This window comes from Homo sapiens, chromosome 10, assembly GCF_000001405.40.
Source record: "Homo sapiens chromosome 10, GRCh38.p14 Primary Assembly".
NCBI lineage: Eukaryota > Metazoa > Chordata > Mammalia > Primates > Hominidae > Homo > Homo sapiens.
In genome coordinates this window covers 62,834,894-62,852,641 of record NC_000010.11, presented here as the reverse complement: position 1 = coordinate 62,852,641, position 17,748 = coordinate 62,834,894, and the positions used below count along the sequence as shown (strand labels likewise).

The 17,748-nt window shown below is 40.4% G+C and overlaps 1 annotated feature.

Annotated features, from left to right (window-relative positions):
• Positions 9,473–9,632: an enhancer, noted in NCBI's record as "active region_3432". NCBI's record gives its function as "activates an Ori minimal core promoter by ATAC-STARR-seq in GM12878 lymphoblastoid cells {active_cell/tissue: GM12878}" and the evidence as "EXISTENCE:reporter gene assay evidence [ECO:0000049][PMID:35858748]".

Genomic DNA, 17,748 nt, shown 5'->3' with positions numbered 1-17,748 from the left:
CACAGTGGTGGACACCTGTAATCCCAGCTACTCAGGAGGCTGAGGCAGGAGAAGCACTTGAACCCAGGAGATGGAGGTTGCAGTGAGCCAAGATCGTGTCACTGCACTGCAGCGCCTGGGTGACAGAGCTAGACTCTGTCTCAAAAAAAAAAAAAAAAAAAAAAAAGGAATAGCAGTAAAGTCATGAGGTAGAATGTAAAGCGAAGTTTCTTGAATAGAGCTGTGCCTCAGAACTGAAAATAACTTTGTTCTAGTCTCATCTCTGTCACTGACTTCATGGGACCTCATGCAAGTGTCTGGGACTCAGGTTCCTCTGAGTAAAATGAAAACTCAGATTAGAATGGCATTTGAGGTCATTTCTGCCTTTCAATTGCTATGATCCCCTAAATAATCAGACTAAATGACAACCTCTTCTCTCTTGAGCTCTCTGCCTATTTGGAGAAACAATTCATGTACTCAGGGTCCCTTCCTCCTGGGTCTTGGAATATGTTTCATAGAGAAAGTGATGAGGTTCTGGTACCCCTAACATTCCTGGACTCAGCAACTGGTGTCTAGACCCGAAGACCTCATGTTCCTGGAGCCCATCCTCTGGCCACTGTCTTCCTGAAGACATGTCATATAGGAAACACAAGGCAGGAGACAGATCTCACAACTTGATTGTTCTGTTGGTAGGACCAAAAGAATCATTTGGAGTTTGACTGCATTATCCAAATCACTTTTCCATTCTACTTGACTCCATCTGTCAACATATGCAAAAAAAAAAAAAAGTCAGTCCAACAATTTTCCTTTTTGATCTGTCCAAGGTCAAATAATCATTCTGGCTGACTTCTTTCCTTGTTGACCAGTTGTTTCAATCCTCCATGGACTCACTCTACAGAAAGCTCAATTTCAATGGTTTCTTTCTGCATAAGCCACTTAAATCAAGTGGCTTTGATTTCTTTTCTGCCTGGCAAACTCTGCCTCCTAACTTTAAAACACAGTTCAAACAGCACCTCCTATGGGAAGCACTTGTCGATGCGCCTTCCTTGGGTAGAATTCATGTTCTTGTCCTCTGTGCTTCCCAGGCACTCTGCACCCATCTCTTTCCTGGCATCTGTTGCCCTGTCATAGAGTTATTTGTATCTGCTAGAGGGGGAGCTTCTGTAGGTCAGAGACCTGGTGTTTGTGTATCTCTGCCTGGAATAGCAACCTCTTAGTGAGGACTTCTTAAGAAAGGAGGAAGGGAAGGGGCAGAGGGAGAGAAGGAAGAAGGGAGGAATTTTCTGTTTGCCAAATGCTTGCAACGTTCTCTCCTTATGCATATTCTGAGGGTGAATGACATACTTCATCGACAATGTAAGGGTGTCTTTGACAGTGAAGTAATAATAAACTACCAGCTGTGGCCTAGTACCACTGAATGGTTTGTTTCTCTTGCTCTGCCATACCTGACTCCCCTATGGCTTGAGTTTGGGGGGAAAAATGCAACAATGACCTTTACATCATCAGATACCCCTAAGGGATGGGTTTTGTTGTTGTTGTTGTTTTTAGTTGGTTGGTTAGTTGGTTTTTCTGAGAGAACCAGTCTCTACACTTCCCCAGAGAATAAAGGCATAAAAGAATTGCTGCAGTTGGAATTGCTTCTTCCCTAGGACAAAGGGAGTTGTCTAAAGTCTCAGCCTTGCCTTGGCAAGAACAATCTGGTCAAAGAATTAGATGCCATGAGATTAACCAGGAAGTGATGCAGCCAGGAAAATCTGGGTGTTATCTCTACCGAAAGTCTGTCCCCAAATAGCCTGGTAGTCAACAAGTTTCCTGTCCTGTGTGTTAAAAAGCTATTTCCTCATTTGATCTTTCAGGATCTCAAAAGCCCCTAAAAGTTCTGGTTTTCTTTTTTGTCATAGCTAAGGTCACCCCAGACTATCCCTTGAACAGTCAAAACTTGGAAAAGGTCGACTCCATATTTGTTTTTACTTTATGATACTAAGCAATCTATTTGGCTAAGTGTTTTTTCGTTTTGTTTTGTTTTGTTTTTTGAGACAGAGTCTTGCTCTGTTGCTGAGGCTGGAGTGCAGTGGCGCAATCTCAGCTCACTGCCACCTCCGCTCCCCCAGGTTCAAGTGATTCTCCTGCCTCAGCCTCCCAAGTAGATGGGATTACAGGCATGCACCACCACACCTGGCTAATTTTTGTATTTTTAGTAGAGACAGGGTTTCACCATGTTGGCCAGGCTGGTCCCGAACTCCTGACCTCAAGTGATCCACCTGCTTCAGCCTCCCAAAGTGCTGGGATTACAGGCATGAGCCAACATGCCCGACCATTTGGCTAAACTTTTCACCAGTGTGACTACACTGGTGGCATTGATAATCTTGGGGTCACTGCCCACAACATGAGATGCATTTATTTATTATAAAGTGTTCTGATAAAATATTGGAGTTACTAGTCCTAGAAATCTGTCATTGCATCTAGATTTCTACACAGCATAGCAATAAGGCCATGAGAGATGTTAGTGTGCTTTTAATCACTGTTGGGTAAACTTGAGCTTCGTCATTTTAACCTAGGGAAGATAAACATCTAGTTCCTATAAGATATTATTAGTTCATTCAAAAATATCTATGAAGCACCTACTATGTGCTAGCCACCATTCTCGGTGCATGGGGGTACATCAGTGAAGAAAACAAACATCTTTGCCTTCATGGAGCGTACATTCTATGTCAGCGGTCCCCGACATTTTTGGCACGAGGGACCGGTTTTGTGGAAGACAATTTTTCCACAGATGGGGGCTGGGGATGGTGGTTTTGGGATGAAACTGTTCCACCTTCAGATCATCAGGCATCAGATTCTCCTAAGGAGCGTGCAACCTAGATCTCTCACATGCACAGTTCACAATAGGGTTCATGCTCCTGTGAGAATCTAACGCTGCTGCTGATTTGACAGGAGGCAGAGCTCAGGCAGTAACGCTTGCTTGTCTGCCACTCACCTCCTGCTGTGTAGCCTTGTTCCTAACAGGCCACTGACCAGTACCAGTCTGTGGACTTCTGTTCTATGTGGAGAGAAGACAGGCAATAATCAACACACATAATAAATCAGTAGATGATTTAATATGTTAGAAGATGACAAGTGCTGTGAAAAAAAGGAAAAGTAAAGCATGGTAAGGTGGAATTAGGGATTGAATTGGCATGAGGGAGGAAGATGCCAGTGTGTACTCAGGATGGGCCACACTGAGACAGTGACATTTAGAAAAGGACTTGAAGGAGGTTAGGGAGTTAGCCAAGCAGATATCTGGAGAGGAATGTTCCCAGAAAGAGGGAAGGGTGAGTGCAAAGACCCTAAGGTGGGAATGTGCCAGTCTTGTTTGAGGACAAACAAGGAGGCCAGGGAGGCTGGAGAGAGTGAACCAGTGGGTGAGAAGTAGAACACAGGAGGAAGAAGAACATGGGGGTTCTGGAAGCCTTTACCCTGAGTGATATGGGGAGCAATTGCAGAGTTTTGCGTGAAGATGTGACACTATATTCCATATGTTAAAAAGCATTACTTTGACTTCAGTGTTGAGAAGAGACAATGTTATATACAAACCTAGGCTGCATGAGTAAATTTGATCAGGCGTAACCTGATAATAGGATACTTATCCAAGAAGAATCACAAGATACCACGTTCAAAAAAAGCATTTGGATTCTACTTCCAGAATGTCACTGTGGGTGTGCTGCCACGCAGCTTGATTGAAATAGCTGTTGTATCCATATTTGTAACAGACACCATCCTCCTTCCAGACTCTCTTAGAGTTGTCATTTTCCTTTATCCACTACATTCAAATAAAAAAGTTACCTTCTACATGCAAAGCTCTATGCTAGTCATAGAGCACGAGAGTTGAGACTGCAAGGATGGGCAAGATGTGGTCTCTGTCCTCTCCTACAGTTTCCAAAGAGAAAATTTAGATTCTTGATCTCAAAATGATATATTTCTCTGATATATGCCAGGTACTTGGTATTTGCTTTTTTTTCTTGAAATAATCAATGATTTCATTGGGGGAGAAACCTTTATAAGAAGTCAAATGAAGCTCCTACGTTGTAGGTAGCATAATCCTTGCTTGGCGTAGAGTTTGGTTTGTCCTACTCACCATGTGACACACAGATGAACTTTAAATTATCATTTCTGGAAAGTGCTATATTCTCAATAGATCATCCTCCAAGAAGAATGGATGTGTGGCTATAGGGGAGGAGTTACAAAATGGTGGTGTCAGGGACTACAAAATTTAAGGCTCTTAATCCATTGTCTCTAGACCCAAAGAGCAAAGTCAAATCAGAAAGTGCTATGTAGTGGTCAGAGCATTCAATTGGCATAGCTGGGGACTTGGAGAGGTAACAATTTTTTGTGGGGTTTGTATAATCACCTTAACAAGATTGCTGGGCTACCATAACAAAATACCACAAACTAGGTGGTTTAAATAACAGAAGTCTGGTTTCTCACAGTTTTGGATGCTGGAAGTCCATGATCCAGGTGTCAGCTCCTGGGCCTTTCTCCTTTGCTTGCAGATGGCCACCTTCTTGCTGTGTCCTCACATGATCTTTCCTCTGTGTGCTTGCATCCCTTGTGTCTCTCTGTGTGTTCAAATTTTGTCTTTTATAAGGACACCAGAATTGTATCAGTATTGGATCAATACTGAATTAGGGCCCACCCTAATGGCCCATTTTAACTTAACCACATCTGTCTCCAAACATAATCACATTCTGAGGTACTAACGATGAGGACTTCAACATATGAACTTTGAGGGGACACAACTCAGCCCATGGCAGAGGGGATAGTCTCATTATTCAAGCATAAGACTTGTATCTTGGGAGTGTTTAAGCATTTTCACAAGGAAAACTTATGTGCTTTAGATCTGACTTTCTGTGCAAAAATGTGAGATTTGCTACAGGTGGGACCCAGGTCTGAGTTTTCTAGGAGAAGGCAAGGCATTGTGTATCCTGTGTACCCTTTTATTTAAGCCCCTTAAGAACAGACTGTCATTATGAAACTCATTTACATGGGGATTGAGCCAACCTTGGCCTTAGTGTGGTTCTCCAATTAACTGACTCAACAGACAAAGCCAAGGGTGAAAACTGATTGAAGGACAAATGATATTCTGGTCAATTTTCAGTATCATTCTGAAAAGGCTTCACTTGGTAAGCATTTAATTATTATTTTCTAATTATCACTCAAATATGATCACAGAAACCAAGCAAGTAAAGAAGACATTTCATGGTTAGATACCCTTGTGTTTGCTGACATGCAATTTTGATTTAGATTTGAACAGGGTCTGACAGATAAGGGCTGCAGCAGGGGGATGGGTTTGTTTCCAGACTGCCATACTCTTGCTCTTTTTCCATTAAGTTGGCCGGACATATTCTCATGAGTACTAGACAGACACTCTGTTAATCTCTGACCTTAACTTACTCTGCAAATGGCAAACACCTCTTAAATTGTAGAATCTTCTGCTTGGAATCATCATAGAGATGTTTGAAAGGAACAAAATTTTATCATGCTACACAGAGATTATGAGTAAGTTATCTGGAGAAACCTGGTGTCCAGAAGGTTCTCTAACCAGGGATCTGTCAGAGTCCAGGGTTTGATCATCGGACCCTTAGTTATCAAGATACCTAATTTTTCATACTGAAAGAAAGATACTTTTGTTTTAAAGGAAATGATTTGCAGTAATTGAATTCATGAGGCTGCTATATAGTGAAAAATAGAATATTCAAGAGGACTGGACACTCCTGTCTTCTGAAAAGTCCATTTGGTTTCTCAAGAGGACTGGACACTCCTGTCTTCTGAAAAGCCCATTTGGTTTCTGTACCCTCATGGGAAATATGTTATAATAAGAAAGATGCTTGGTGAGTCAGAGATCTAAACAAAAGGAGTTACTTACATGATTCAAAAGTTTAAATGCAAGGATGAAAGGTAGGCTTCATTTAACAGGTGCTCTTATCAATTGTTCAGGGCTGTCTGTAGTGTTGAGAAGTATGAGGCCACATTTGGGCTTGGTAGGAAAGTGACAGTTGGTTAGTGATGTCTGCCATGGCTGTAAGAGTGGGAAGAAGGTGTGTATATATATATACTATGTTTGAGCCATCCCTCATGTAAAACCATCACACCAAGAGAGCCTTATAAATGTGCACACACACACACACACACACACACACACACACACACGTTCACTAGGACTAGAGGATTGGGCACCCTGGGCAGTGCTTGGTTGGTGACTGCTAACATCGTTTTTCAGTGCTTCCATACGTAATGGATATTTCTTCTGACAAGCCTGTCTTTCTGTGGATATGTTTAGTCAGGTCAGGCTAAGTGCTGCTGGGTTAAAGGCAAGCTGGTGTCTTGAAGATGACTGCATAATTCTCCTCTGAGCCATTTTTGAGCTGACTTCTTTCTTTGCTTCCAGAGGAGAATCTTGTTGACCAGATTTGGGGCACCACTCTATAGCCCCTGTATAAGGAAAAGAATAATCTACTTTAGTGGTTTTCACACTTTAGGAAACCTCTTTTTTCTAACTAAATCTTACCTAGAACTCCATCATACTAAACAAATAAAAGCAACAGGCAGGCTTCTCTGGAAGTTTCAACATTCATTGTTTGACAGACACTATTTTTCTGGGTGAAGATGTCCTGAAACATAGTTATGGTGATCCCTGGGAATGCATGGAGTACTATTTGAAAATCACCCATCCAGTTCAATTTCTTCATTCCAGGCAAGAGAAAATCCAGGCATTGGAAAGACAAATTGTTAACTCAGGATCACATAGCAGGTATGAAGCTGTGTTGAGATAAACACTCCTCATTTCTTAACTCTTCATATAGCGCTCTTTCCATAAGACCAACACTTGTGGGTTTGGGAGAGATTATCTTTCAGCACCCGAGTGGCCAAGCCTAGTCTACACTGTGAGTCCTCAGGGGAGGAGTAGCCCCAGGCCCACCAAGGGCAACATGCTGAGGACCCCGGAGAGAAATGTCTGCTTTGTCTCTCCCCCATTTCATAAGTGAAACCTGACAGCATAGATTAGAAAAATAATAAAAGGCCATCTCATCTGTGTTCCCTATTTATTACACATTATGCAGGTATCTGGTTGCAAAACCTGCACTCCTACTCCTCTCTCATTGTTAACAATGTTTGAAGCAGAACACACTGACCTGCTTCATCAGATAACGTCGGCATCTCGGTGAGTGCTCACTTTCCAGGTGGCTTCCACCCTTCCTCCCCATTCCCCCCTCCTCACTGACCCCCAAAATCCAACAGGGGGAACACTTTATCAATAGCAGAACACTCCACCTTTACATGATATGATTGTGTCTATATCTAGTCAAGCAAAAAATAAAGGAAAATAAAATTGCACCCTTTTCGAAAGAAAATAGAATACCCAGATTGTGGGGTCCAAGAATGGAGCCTGAAGGAGTGTGACCCAGTTTGTTAACCAAGAGGGGATTACCCCAGTTCTTCTCCTCTGGTCCTGTGCAAGGCCCCCTTTGAAGCTTAGGGAGGACACCAATTTTGTGGAGGAAACAGCTCTTCTTCATTTGTTGTCAGATGGAAAGAGAGAGAGGAAAAAGGGAGGGAAAGGAAGAGAAAGAGAAGAAAAGAACTGAGGTGGAGAGAAGGGGAAAAGAGATGTTGATGAGAGACAGAGAAAGGTGTGAGAAGAGCCAGACACAAGGACAAGAAGGAGAGAAGGAGGAAGAAAAGGAGGAGAGAAGGGAGACAGAGAGGGAGCTTTGTTTTGAAAGAGTATAAGGTAATAACCAAATTAAGCAGTCCCGGCCTGTGCTGCCACACAGAGGCTCATGGGGTGGGAAGACCAGATGGCATGTGGGGAAACCCAGGTCCCTGCCTCATCTCCACTATCATCTCTGCATCATCTTGAGTGAGTCCCTTTTCCTCTCTGGGTCTCAGTTTCCTCAACATGCAGTGAAAAGTGTGTGTGAGAGGCCCTGAGTGTCTCCCACTCACCCCCACTAACCTTAACCCTTGCCCTGGAGCAGTCTTGACTCTGTGCTGAGGAGACACCAAAGGGAGAACAGAGCCCTTTGTGGCAGGCTGAGGAGAGACAACTTAAAAGGCGATGAGGGCAGAAGAATTGAAGCATTTTTGTTGTAGAGGAAAGCGTGGGCTTCAGGCAGGGAGCCAGAAGCCACTGACATCACCATAATACTTGGAACAGGCCTCCGAGAGGTAGGCGGGAGCCTCAGGGAGTGGGCAGAGTTACCTGGTGAGGGACAGACGACCTGAGTCTGGCCCAGGAGCAATGAGACACTTGAAAGAGGCTCGTGGCCCTTGCAGGATCAGGGCACAGGTAGCCATGAATTCAAATGCTGGAGGAAAGTGTGTAAAGTTTGGGAAGTCATTTCTCCACTCAGTTCCTTGGTTCAGGACTTGGCATGGGAAATGGGAGAGATGAGCGTGGTCAATTCTAGACAAAAATCCATTTGTCCTGATCTCCAGAACTGAAGTCAGAAACACTTGATACAGAAGATGTTTGCATCCACCTTCTCTCTTTGGCCCCCAGAGCCTGTCCAACAGGGAATGGAACTGGAGGTCACCTCTCTGGTAGGATTAGAGGGATATTGGGAGGTACTTCATTCTTTCAGATGGGGCCTCCACTAAAATGCCACAGGGATTTCTATCTCCTTTATTACTAAGCCCCCTTTTAGGGGTTAAGCATTGCCCTCTTCCCACGATGTTTTGTGAAACTTACGTTTCATTCCTTCTTAGGGATTTGCAAATACTAACATCTTAGTGCATCTTAGTGCAAGCTTATCAACTCTATGGCATGTGTGCCACCACTTCCTATTGCACAGCTTAAAGCAGACAGTGCTAATCAATTGCCCAGATGCATCGTCAGAATCCCTCCCAATCAGGGCTCTTGCCAGGCATTATCAATTGATGGAAATGAGCTCTTGAGACTGATCCTGTTTGTTACACCTGTGTTTAGGGTTAATTATCAGACATTATCCTTTGGGGCAGGAAAGTCCTGGGATATGGTGGAAGGGAGGATTATGGGGAGCCTGAGGGTTGAGAAGAAGCAGAGGAAAGAGAGATGAGAGAACTGAGCAAAGACAATGCTTGTTTTCAGTATTATTTGTTTTTTCTTCTTTGTAACTTTCCCTTCCGTTTTTCAGAGCTTTCTTCATCCTTGGATTCTGTCATCTTGGCTCTCTTTTCCCACCAGGGATCAGGATGTTAGGAAACAATTGTTTAAGGTCCTACAGGTTGAGGTGCTGGAATAAATGGAAAATAGACCAGGAGCTCATTCCTTTGTCCTTAGGAAGATAGTTTCTGTCCCTGCTTATGGGACACCTGGAGATGCCTTACCCTTCATGGGAGCCTTTGCAAGATCCTTAAAAGTCCACACCCCTCTTCTGTAACCTCTTCAGGGGTGGGAACCCCATTACCTCATGAGACAGCTCATTTCATTGTTGAATGACCTAAGTGGTTAGCAAGTGGTCAGCTCATACTGGTTGAAATCTCTCTGCCTGACAAGTCCACCTTTAGTGCTGGTTTAGAGAATATATCTGCTTCCTCTTTCTCCACGTCAGCCTTTTGTGTTGTTTCAAGATGGCTATCATGGGCTGCCTAGGTTTTCTCCTCTCTAGGTTAAATATCCCAGTTTTCCTATTCTGCCTCATGTAACATGGCATTAGAGCTTTTATCATCTTGAGTAAACCCCAGGTTGTCAGTGACCTCCTTGTAACCAGTGTCCCTCATTGAAAAATATGTAGTCTGACTTGTATGAGCCTGTGGGATACAATTTGTTTGTTGAATTGAACTGACTATTAGGTCCTGTGATCTAAAACTTATGCTTCTATTTATGCAACGAAATATTTGGGTTTTTTTGTTTGTTTTTAAGGTACTACTTTATCTTGCCTTATGTTAAGCTTGTGGCCAGCTAAGACCCATAGATTACTTTCACAGAAATTATTACCCATCTTGTATTCAACTGATAGGAATTTGTAAAAATGATTACTACTGTTGCTAAACAGGAATATGTATTGACTGTCTGTTTGTATGTGGTTCTGTGCTGGGCACTGGACCAGAGAGATAAGCACTTTAGAACATTATAATTTGAAACATATTCATTAAACACACACTTATTGTTATTATTGGCTTTTTAGTGGAAAATTTGTTAACATCAAAATTTTACATTTTTAGCATTTGCCCAGTATTATATCCTTATTTTACAGATCCAATCACTCATATAATGAACATAAATATATATGTACAAGAATGTTAATTGCAGCATTAATTTTTAATTGTGAAATTAAGAAGCAAACTAAATTGTCAAGGAGAATAGTTAAATATAGAATAGTACCTCCATAAATGGAATGTCATGAAGCCACTAGAACTGCATTTGATCTATATGTAATGACACAGAAAGATCTTCAAGACATATGGTAAAGTGAAAAATGCAGGTCATAGCAGAGTAGATATATTCATAATTTCATTTGTGTCTTAACAAATAAAATTATAATCAAAAGTATATTTTACACACACATACACTTAAATGTAAATAAGGGTTTGAAAGATACACAGTTAATTATTGATGGAAATTTCCTGTTAGAACAGGGTAAGAGTAGAGAATAGATTGTTTTTCCTCTATGTATTTTGGTGGTGTTTGGATTTTTACAAGCATGTATTTATTTATTACTTGTGTAATTTTTTTAAGGTTTATTTTTGGTAGACAGAGGAAATACAAAGAATTCAAAGATGAGAAAGGGACAGTCTCCTTCCTTCAAAAAAAAAAACCCCAATATGAGGATCAATGCAACATACAGATAATGATGGTATTTTGCAATGGAAGGTGTTAGGGAATCTGGATGAGGGAGTGATTCCTTCTGCCTGTAGGAAGATGAAAAAGGCTGTACCTTTTCTGGATAGGACACTCAGTCCAGTTTGCTGGAAGTGTAGAGTTTGTGTGGGGGAGTAGTCAGCAAGCATTCTCAAAGGATAAGTTAGACCTACTTCTCAATTAGCCTTTGATATACTTCCCTTGGTAGCCAATAAGAGATATCTCAGGGTGGCATCTTAGGCAGATTAATTCAGCTGGGAGACCAGAAGTTTGGGGGACTATGACACTGGAGGCAGAGAGATTATTGCCATATTTTAGCATTTTCCATGTCCTATTAAAAGTTAACAGTGGTTCTCGCACCCACCTTGCTAAATGTGTTCAGCAGCTAAATAACCTTAGAAAACCTTTACACATCTCTACTTTGAGATATGTAATCCTCTTTAGCATAGTATAGGCTCTGAGAAGTCCTGCAATAAAAATGTGTTTCGTTTTTATTAATCCATCATTTCTCAGTTTTATCTGGACCTAGGACATTTCATTTGCAGCCTTTATTTTTCACAATGGCATTCTGAACAACCGCAAGCACTTAAAAAATCTGTTAGAGTAGAATCATAGAAGTCTGAATAAGGGTGGCAGAAGAACGATGGGAAGGAGGAGTGGATGTGATCATACTGGAGAAGAAAGAATTGGGAGGGCATGGCAAGTTGTCTGGATGTGGAGTCAGGGGAGAGACATGTCAAAGACTGGTCTGAGATTTCATTACTTCTGCTATATTTCCTCATTTTAAAAGTCACAACATCAGGTCTATACCTCTGAATGGCTGGCCACAGACTTGGGACTATCCTTGCTTTACTGGGCCCAGCAGAAATTGCTGGCCTGGAAAAAAGACTCATAGTTTTCTTCATGTCCTCACCCTAATGGAAATATCTAATTTAAAATGGGTATAACACAATTAGTGGAGTAAAAACAGAATCCATGGAATGGGAGAAAATATTTGCAAATAATATATCTGATACAGGGTTAATATCAGAATATGTAAAGAACTCCTACAATTCAACAGCAGTAAAACAAACAAATGGGCAAAGGACTTGAATAGACGTTCCTCCAAAGAAGATATACAAATGGCCAATAAGCGCACCAAAAGATGCTCAACATCACTAATCATTAGGGAAATGCAAATCAAGACCACAAGGAGATACTACCTCATACTCATTAGGATGACTATTATCAAAAATTCGAAAATAACAAGTGTTGATGAGCCTATGGAGAAATTGGAACACTGTGCACTGTTGGTGGGAATGTAAAATGATACAGTTTCTATGGAAAACAGTATGGCAGTTCCTCAAAAAATTAAATGTGGAATTACCATATGATCCAAAAATTCCACTTTGGGGCGTATACCCAAAATAATTGAAAGTAGAGACTCTAAGACATATTTGCACACCCATGTTCACAGCAACATTATTCATAATAGCCAAAAGGTGGGAGCAATCCAAGTGTCCATCAACAGATGAATAGATAAACAAAATGTTATATATAAATTCAGTGGAATATTATTCAGTCTTTAAAAAAAGGAAATTTTGACACGTGTAACATTGATGTTAGGGACTAAATGTTTGTGTCCTCTGAAATTCATATGTTGAAATCCTAACTTCCCATGTGATGGTATTAGGAGTTGGGGCTTCTGAGAAGTGATTAGGTCATGAGGGTCAAGCCCTTATGAATGGGATTAGTGTTCTTATAAAAGAGACCCCAGAAAGTTCTCTTGCACCTTTTCCTATGTGAGGACATAGCTCAAAGATGGCCTTCTATGAACCAGGAAATGGTCCCTCACCAGACATCAAATCTGTTGCCACTCTGATCCTGAACTTCTTGCCTCCAAAACTGTGGAAAATAAATTTCTTTTGTTTATAACCCACCCAGTTCGAGGTATTCTGTTTCAGCAGCCTGAATGGACTGAGACAACGAATGAACCTTTAGGACATTATGGGAAGTGAAATAAGCCAGTCACAAAAGGAAAGTATCATGCCACTTACATGAGGAACATAGAGTGCTCAAATTCATAGAGATGGAAAGTAGCATGGTGGTTGCCAGGGGCTGTGGGGAGGGGAATGAGGAGGTATTTTTCAATCATCATAGAGTTTCAGTTTTGCAAGATTAAAAGAGTTCTGGAGATGGATGGTGATGATGGTTGCACAAGAATGTGAATATACTTATTGCCACAGAACTATACACTTAAAAATTGGCAATGTGGTACATTTTATGTTATGTGTATTTTACACAATTAAAAAACAAACAAATAAACAAAATTGATATAGCGTTTTGGCTCCTATAGTCAGAAAAGTCCTAAATCTCTTTAACTGATTATTTTATGTTTTCTACAATTTACTATCAGTGTGCAAATGGTCTAGAGTTTTGAAAACTATACATATGAAGCATTATCCACTGTAGAAAATATGGAAAATACAAAAGTACACAGAGAAAATAACATCACTCAACTCCGTCTATCTGGAGATAAGCCATCAAGTTTTCTGGAGATAGCATTATGGTAGATTTCCTTCAAGTCTTTTTATCTGGAACGTGCCTACTTGAATCCTCAGCCCCCTCCTCTCTTTCCCTCTTATTCTCACTCAGAATACCAGGGCATGACAATCATTGCATAAGGATAGCTACTTTTGGCCAGTCTTGGTCCAGTCTGTGGCCTGGGTGGCAGGTTACGGCAATCATTGAGTAAGAAACAAATAGAGATTGATTCTCTCATGCAGTGGATGTGTGGAGTGCTCACTGATCATCTGAACTGTGTCCTGCCCAGACTAATATATAAAAATAATAGGATTTAGAAGGGACTCGTCATACCAGGAATTAATTAGACTACTAGTTGCCCTTGTCATAGTGCTCATTAAACTTTATTATAATGAGTGGTTTGATGTTTTAATTTCCCACTAGAATATAATGGAGGAGCTTTATCTGCCTGTTCACTGCGGTAGTCCCATTGCTAAGGTATACCTGAGATATATGAAATGTTCAATAAATATTTGTTGAATGAATTAATTAATGGGTGCTTGTAATTTACATTCAATTTTATAGGAGAATAAAGTAGAAGTTGTGTAGAGTACTATTTAAGAACATTGTTTCCAGTTTCAGACAATTTGCATTTGAATCCCAGGGTCTGTATTTTGAGAAAATTATTTAACTCCTGGAAGTTTTTCTCATTTGTAAAATGGGGATGAAAATGGTACCTGTCTCAAAGTTAGTGTGATAATTAATTGAGATAGTCCATTATAAATCATGTAGAATAGAGCCTGAAACATAGTAATCACTCAGTCCATGTCATTTATTATTATATTCACCTTTCTGTTTTTTATTTTCATAAACATTTCCTATATCATTGAATTTTTCTGAAAAACATGTTTTTAGTGGTTATGTAACTATTCCATATTGGAAATTTACCCTAATTTATGGACCTTTAAGTTGTTTTTAGATTTCCTCTATTTTAAATCACTTTTGGATAAGCATTCTTGTCATAGGGTAGTCAGGAGTGCAGGTTCTGGTACTGGACTGCCTGGGGTCACACACTGAATCTTCTCTTACAGGCTATGTAACTTTTGACGCCTAATATCTCTGTACCTCAGTTTCCTATTGGCAAGATAGGAACAATAATAACAATTCATAAGATTGTTGAGATAGTAAATGAGCTAATGATGTATGTAGGTTGCTTATAATGATGTCTGGCACACTTTAAGTGCTTAATAAATGTTTACTATTATATTATTATTGCTAATCTTTTACTTCATTTGTTAATTTTTTTTTTTTTTTTTTTGAGACAGTCTTGCTCTGTTGCCCAGGCTGGAGTGCAGTGGCACCATCTCGGCTCACTGCAAACCCCGCCTCCCGGGTTCACGCCATTCTCCTGCCTCAGCCTCCCGAGTAGCTGGGACTACAGGCGCCCACCACCACTCCTGGCTAATTTTTTTGTATTTTCAGTAGAGACAGGGTTTCACCAGGATGGTCTCTGTCTGTTGACCTCATGATCCGCCGGCCTTGGCCTCCCAAAGTGCTGGGATTACAGGCGTCAGCCACCGCGCCCAGCCCTTTATTTGTTAATTTTTTAGGCAAATACATATTAGGTTTGTGGAATAAAAACAGATGTTTTCAGGATGAATGTTTATTATAGTCTAGATAGGAATCGCTAACCTAAATGATGGTTTGATGTTGGAAAAACCTGGACATTAATAATTATTAGAACTTTCATTAATCATAACCCTTCAATATTTAAATGCATTCAAATGAATTTAATATCTTAAAAAATGTTTTTAGATCTCCACAGTTTATAATTTGAAGAGTAGCTAAATGTTAATTCCTAAATAAAACCCCCCATTACTATTTATTATCTTATGTCTTCTGCAGCAATTCCATATAATGTTCACTTGGAATTACCTGAGGTCTAGGTGGGTATGAGACTCAGGGATAAGCATCTTCCTTTGAGTTATCTTAGAAGCCTCTTCAGTCCAAAGTGATCACCTCTCCCTCTCCCCCTCCATGTACACTTATACTCTATTCCCATAGAGTATGGTAGAGACAGACCTGGGTTCATGTCTGGATTCAGCCCATGATGTATCTGAGCCTTGCTGTTCTCAGCTGCAAAATGAGAATGATAATGCCCATCTCATGAAGTTTCTGTGAGAATTGAGAGGTAACACAGAGAGTGACAAGTGAGAATTCAATACATGTTTTTTCTTTTCTTTTCCTCAGGGTTAAACGTGACAATACCAATAACAGCAATAATAATAATAATAATAGCTACATAATGCCATGGGCCAAGCACCGTGTTTGTTAGTTACCTCATGTTGCATAATCTTTCTACATACAATCCTAAGAAGTAGGCACCATTATCGCCTTTATTTTACAGATGAGGAAACAGAGGCACAGAGAGCAACTTACTAAAAAATGACAGAGCTGAGATTCACCATAGATGAATTTGGGCTGTTTTTGAAATTTGTATAAATGGGGTCATGCATGCATATAGGTCCGTCTTCTTTTATTCAGCATTATGTCTGTAAGATTTATCCACATCATTGCAAGTAGTTTTTTTTAAATTGCTGGGTAGTAGTCTATCGTCTGCATAAAATGTAATTTTTTAATCTATTCTTTTTCTGATGGATATTTGGGTTGTTTCCTGTTTTTTGGCTCTTATAAGGAATGTTGCTATGTTCATTTTAGTACAGATCTGTGTGTGTGTGTGGGGGGGTGTGTATTTATTTCTGTTGGTTTAATATCTAGGAGTTTGACTGCCCAGTTTTGAGTTAGGTAAATCTTCAGTGGCAGAAGATACTGCCAGTTTTCCAATTTAACCAGTTACCAATATAACCTCCTCCCAGGACTACATAAGAGTTCCAGTTGCTCTGTATCTTCACCAATACTTGATATTTTTCATTTTTAAATTGGTAGCTCTTCTAGCAGATGTGTAGTGGTATCCCTCTGCAGTTTTAACTAGCATTTCCCTGATGACTTTGATATTAAAAAATATTTTTAATGTTTATGGGCATAAACATCATTCTTTTATGGAATACCTGCCCAACTATTTGCCCATTTGAAAATCAGGTTGCATGTCTTTTAAAAACTGATTTGTAGAAGTTGTTTTTGTTTATTTGTTTGTTTTGTTTTGTTTTTTGTTTTGAAACGAAGTCTCGCTCTGTCACCCAGGCTGGAGTGCAGTGGCACGATCTCGGCTCATTGCAAGCTCTGCCTCCTGTGTTCACGCCATTCTCCTGCCTCAGCCTGGGACTACAAGCTGGGACTTGTAGCTGGGACTACAAGCACCTGCCACCATGCCCGACTAATATTTTGTATTTTTAGTAGAGATGGGGTTTCACCGTGTTAGCCAGGATGGTCTTGATCTCCTGACCTCGTGATCTGCCCACCTCGGCCTCCCAAAGTGCTGGGATTACAGGCGTGAGCCACTGCGCTCTGCAGAAGTTTTTTAAAAATGTGTTTTGGGTACAAGACTTTTATTGGATATATGTGTGACAAATATCTTCTCCCACTATGTGGTATGACTTTTCATTCTCTTAATGCATCTTTCAATAAACATATGTTTTTCATTTTAATATAATTTAAAGAACAATATTTTCCTTCGTGTTTAGTGTTTTTATGTGCTTTATAAGAATTTTGTGTCCACCTCAAGATCATAAAAATAGTTGTTTATTTTTATTGTTTTGCCTTTCACATTTAGTTCTATGATTCATTTTTTTTTTTCTTGAGATGGAGTCTTGCTCTGTTGCCCAGGCTGGAGTGCAATGGTGCTCTCTTGGCTCACTGCAACCTCTGCCTCCTGGGTTCAAGTGATTCTCTTGCTTCAGCCTCCCAAGTAGCTGGGATTACAGGCACATGCCACCACACCCAGCTAATTTTTTGTATTTTTAGTAGAGACTGGGTTTCACCATGTTGGCCCGGCTGGTCTTGAACTCCTGACCTCAGGTGATTCACCCGCCTCGGCCTCCCAAAGTGTTGGGATTACAGGTGTGAGCCACCACGCCTGGCCCTATGATTCATTTTGAATTGAATTTTGTATATAGTGTGAGGTAAGGTCAAGATTCCATTGTAACACATGGCTAGCTAATTATCTACCACTACTGATTGAAGTCCATTATTTTCCTTCATATTGCTGTGGGACATTTGTCATAATTCAGATGACCATAGATAGGTGCGTCTGTTTTTAGATCCTAGTCTGTTCCATTGGTCTGTTTACCTATGCTTGGACCAATACCACTGTTTACATATGCAGATTTATATTAATCTTGATATCTGTGTTAGTCCTGCAGCTAAATTATTCTTCAAAATTGTCTGTCTTGAATTGTTTTTTTACATAAGATATGTAAATAGTATATAAATAGTATGTTGAAAATGGCTTGATTTTGTCTTCTTTCCCTAGTAATAGTTTACGTAGGTAT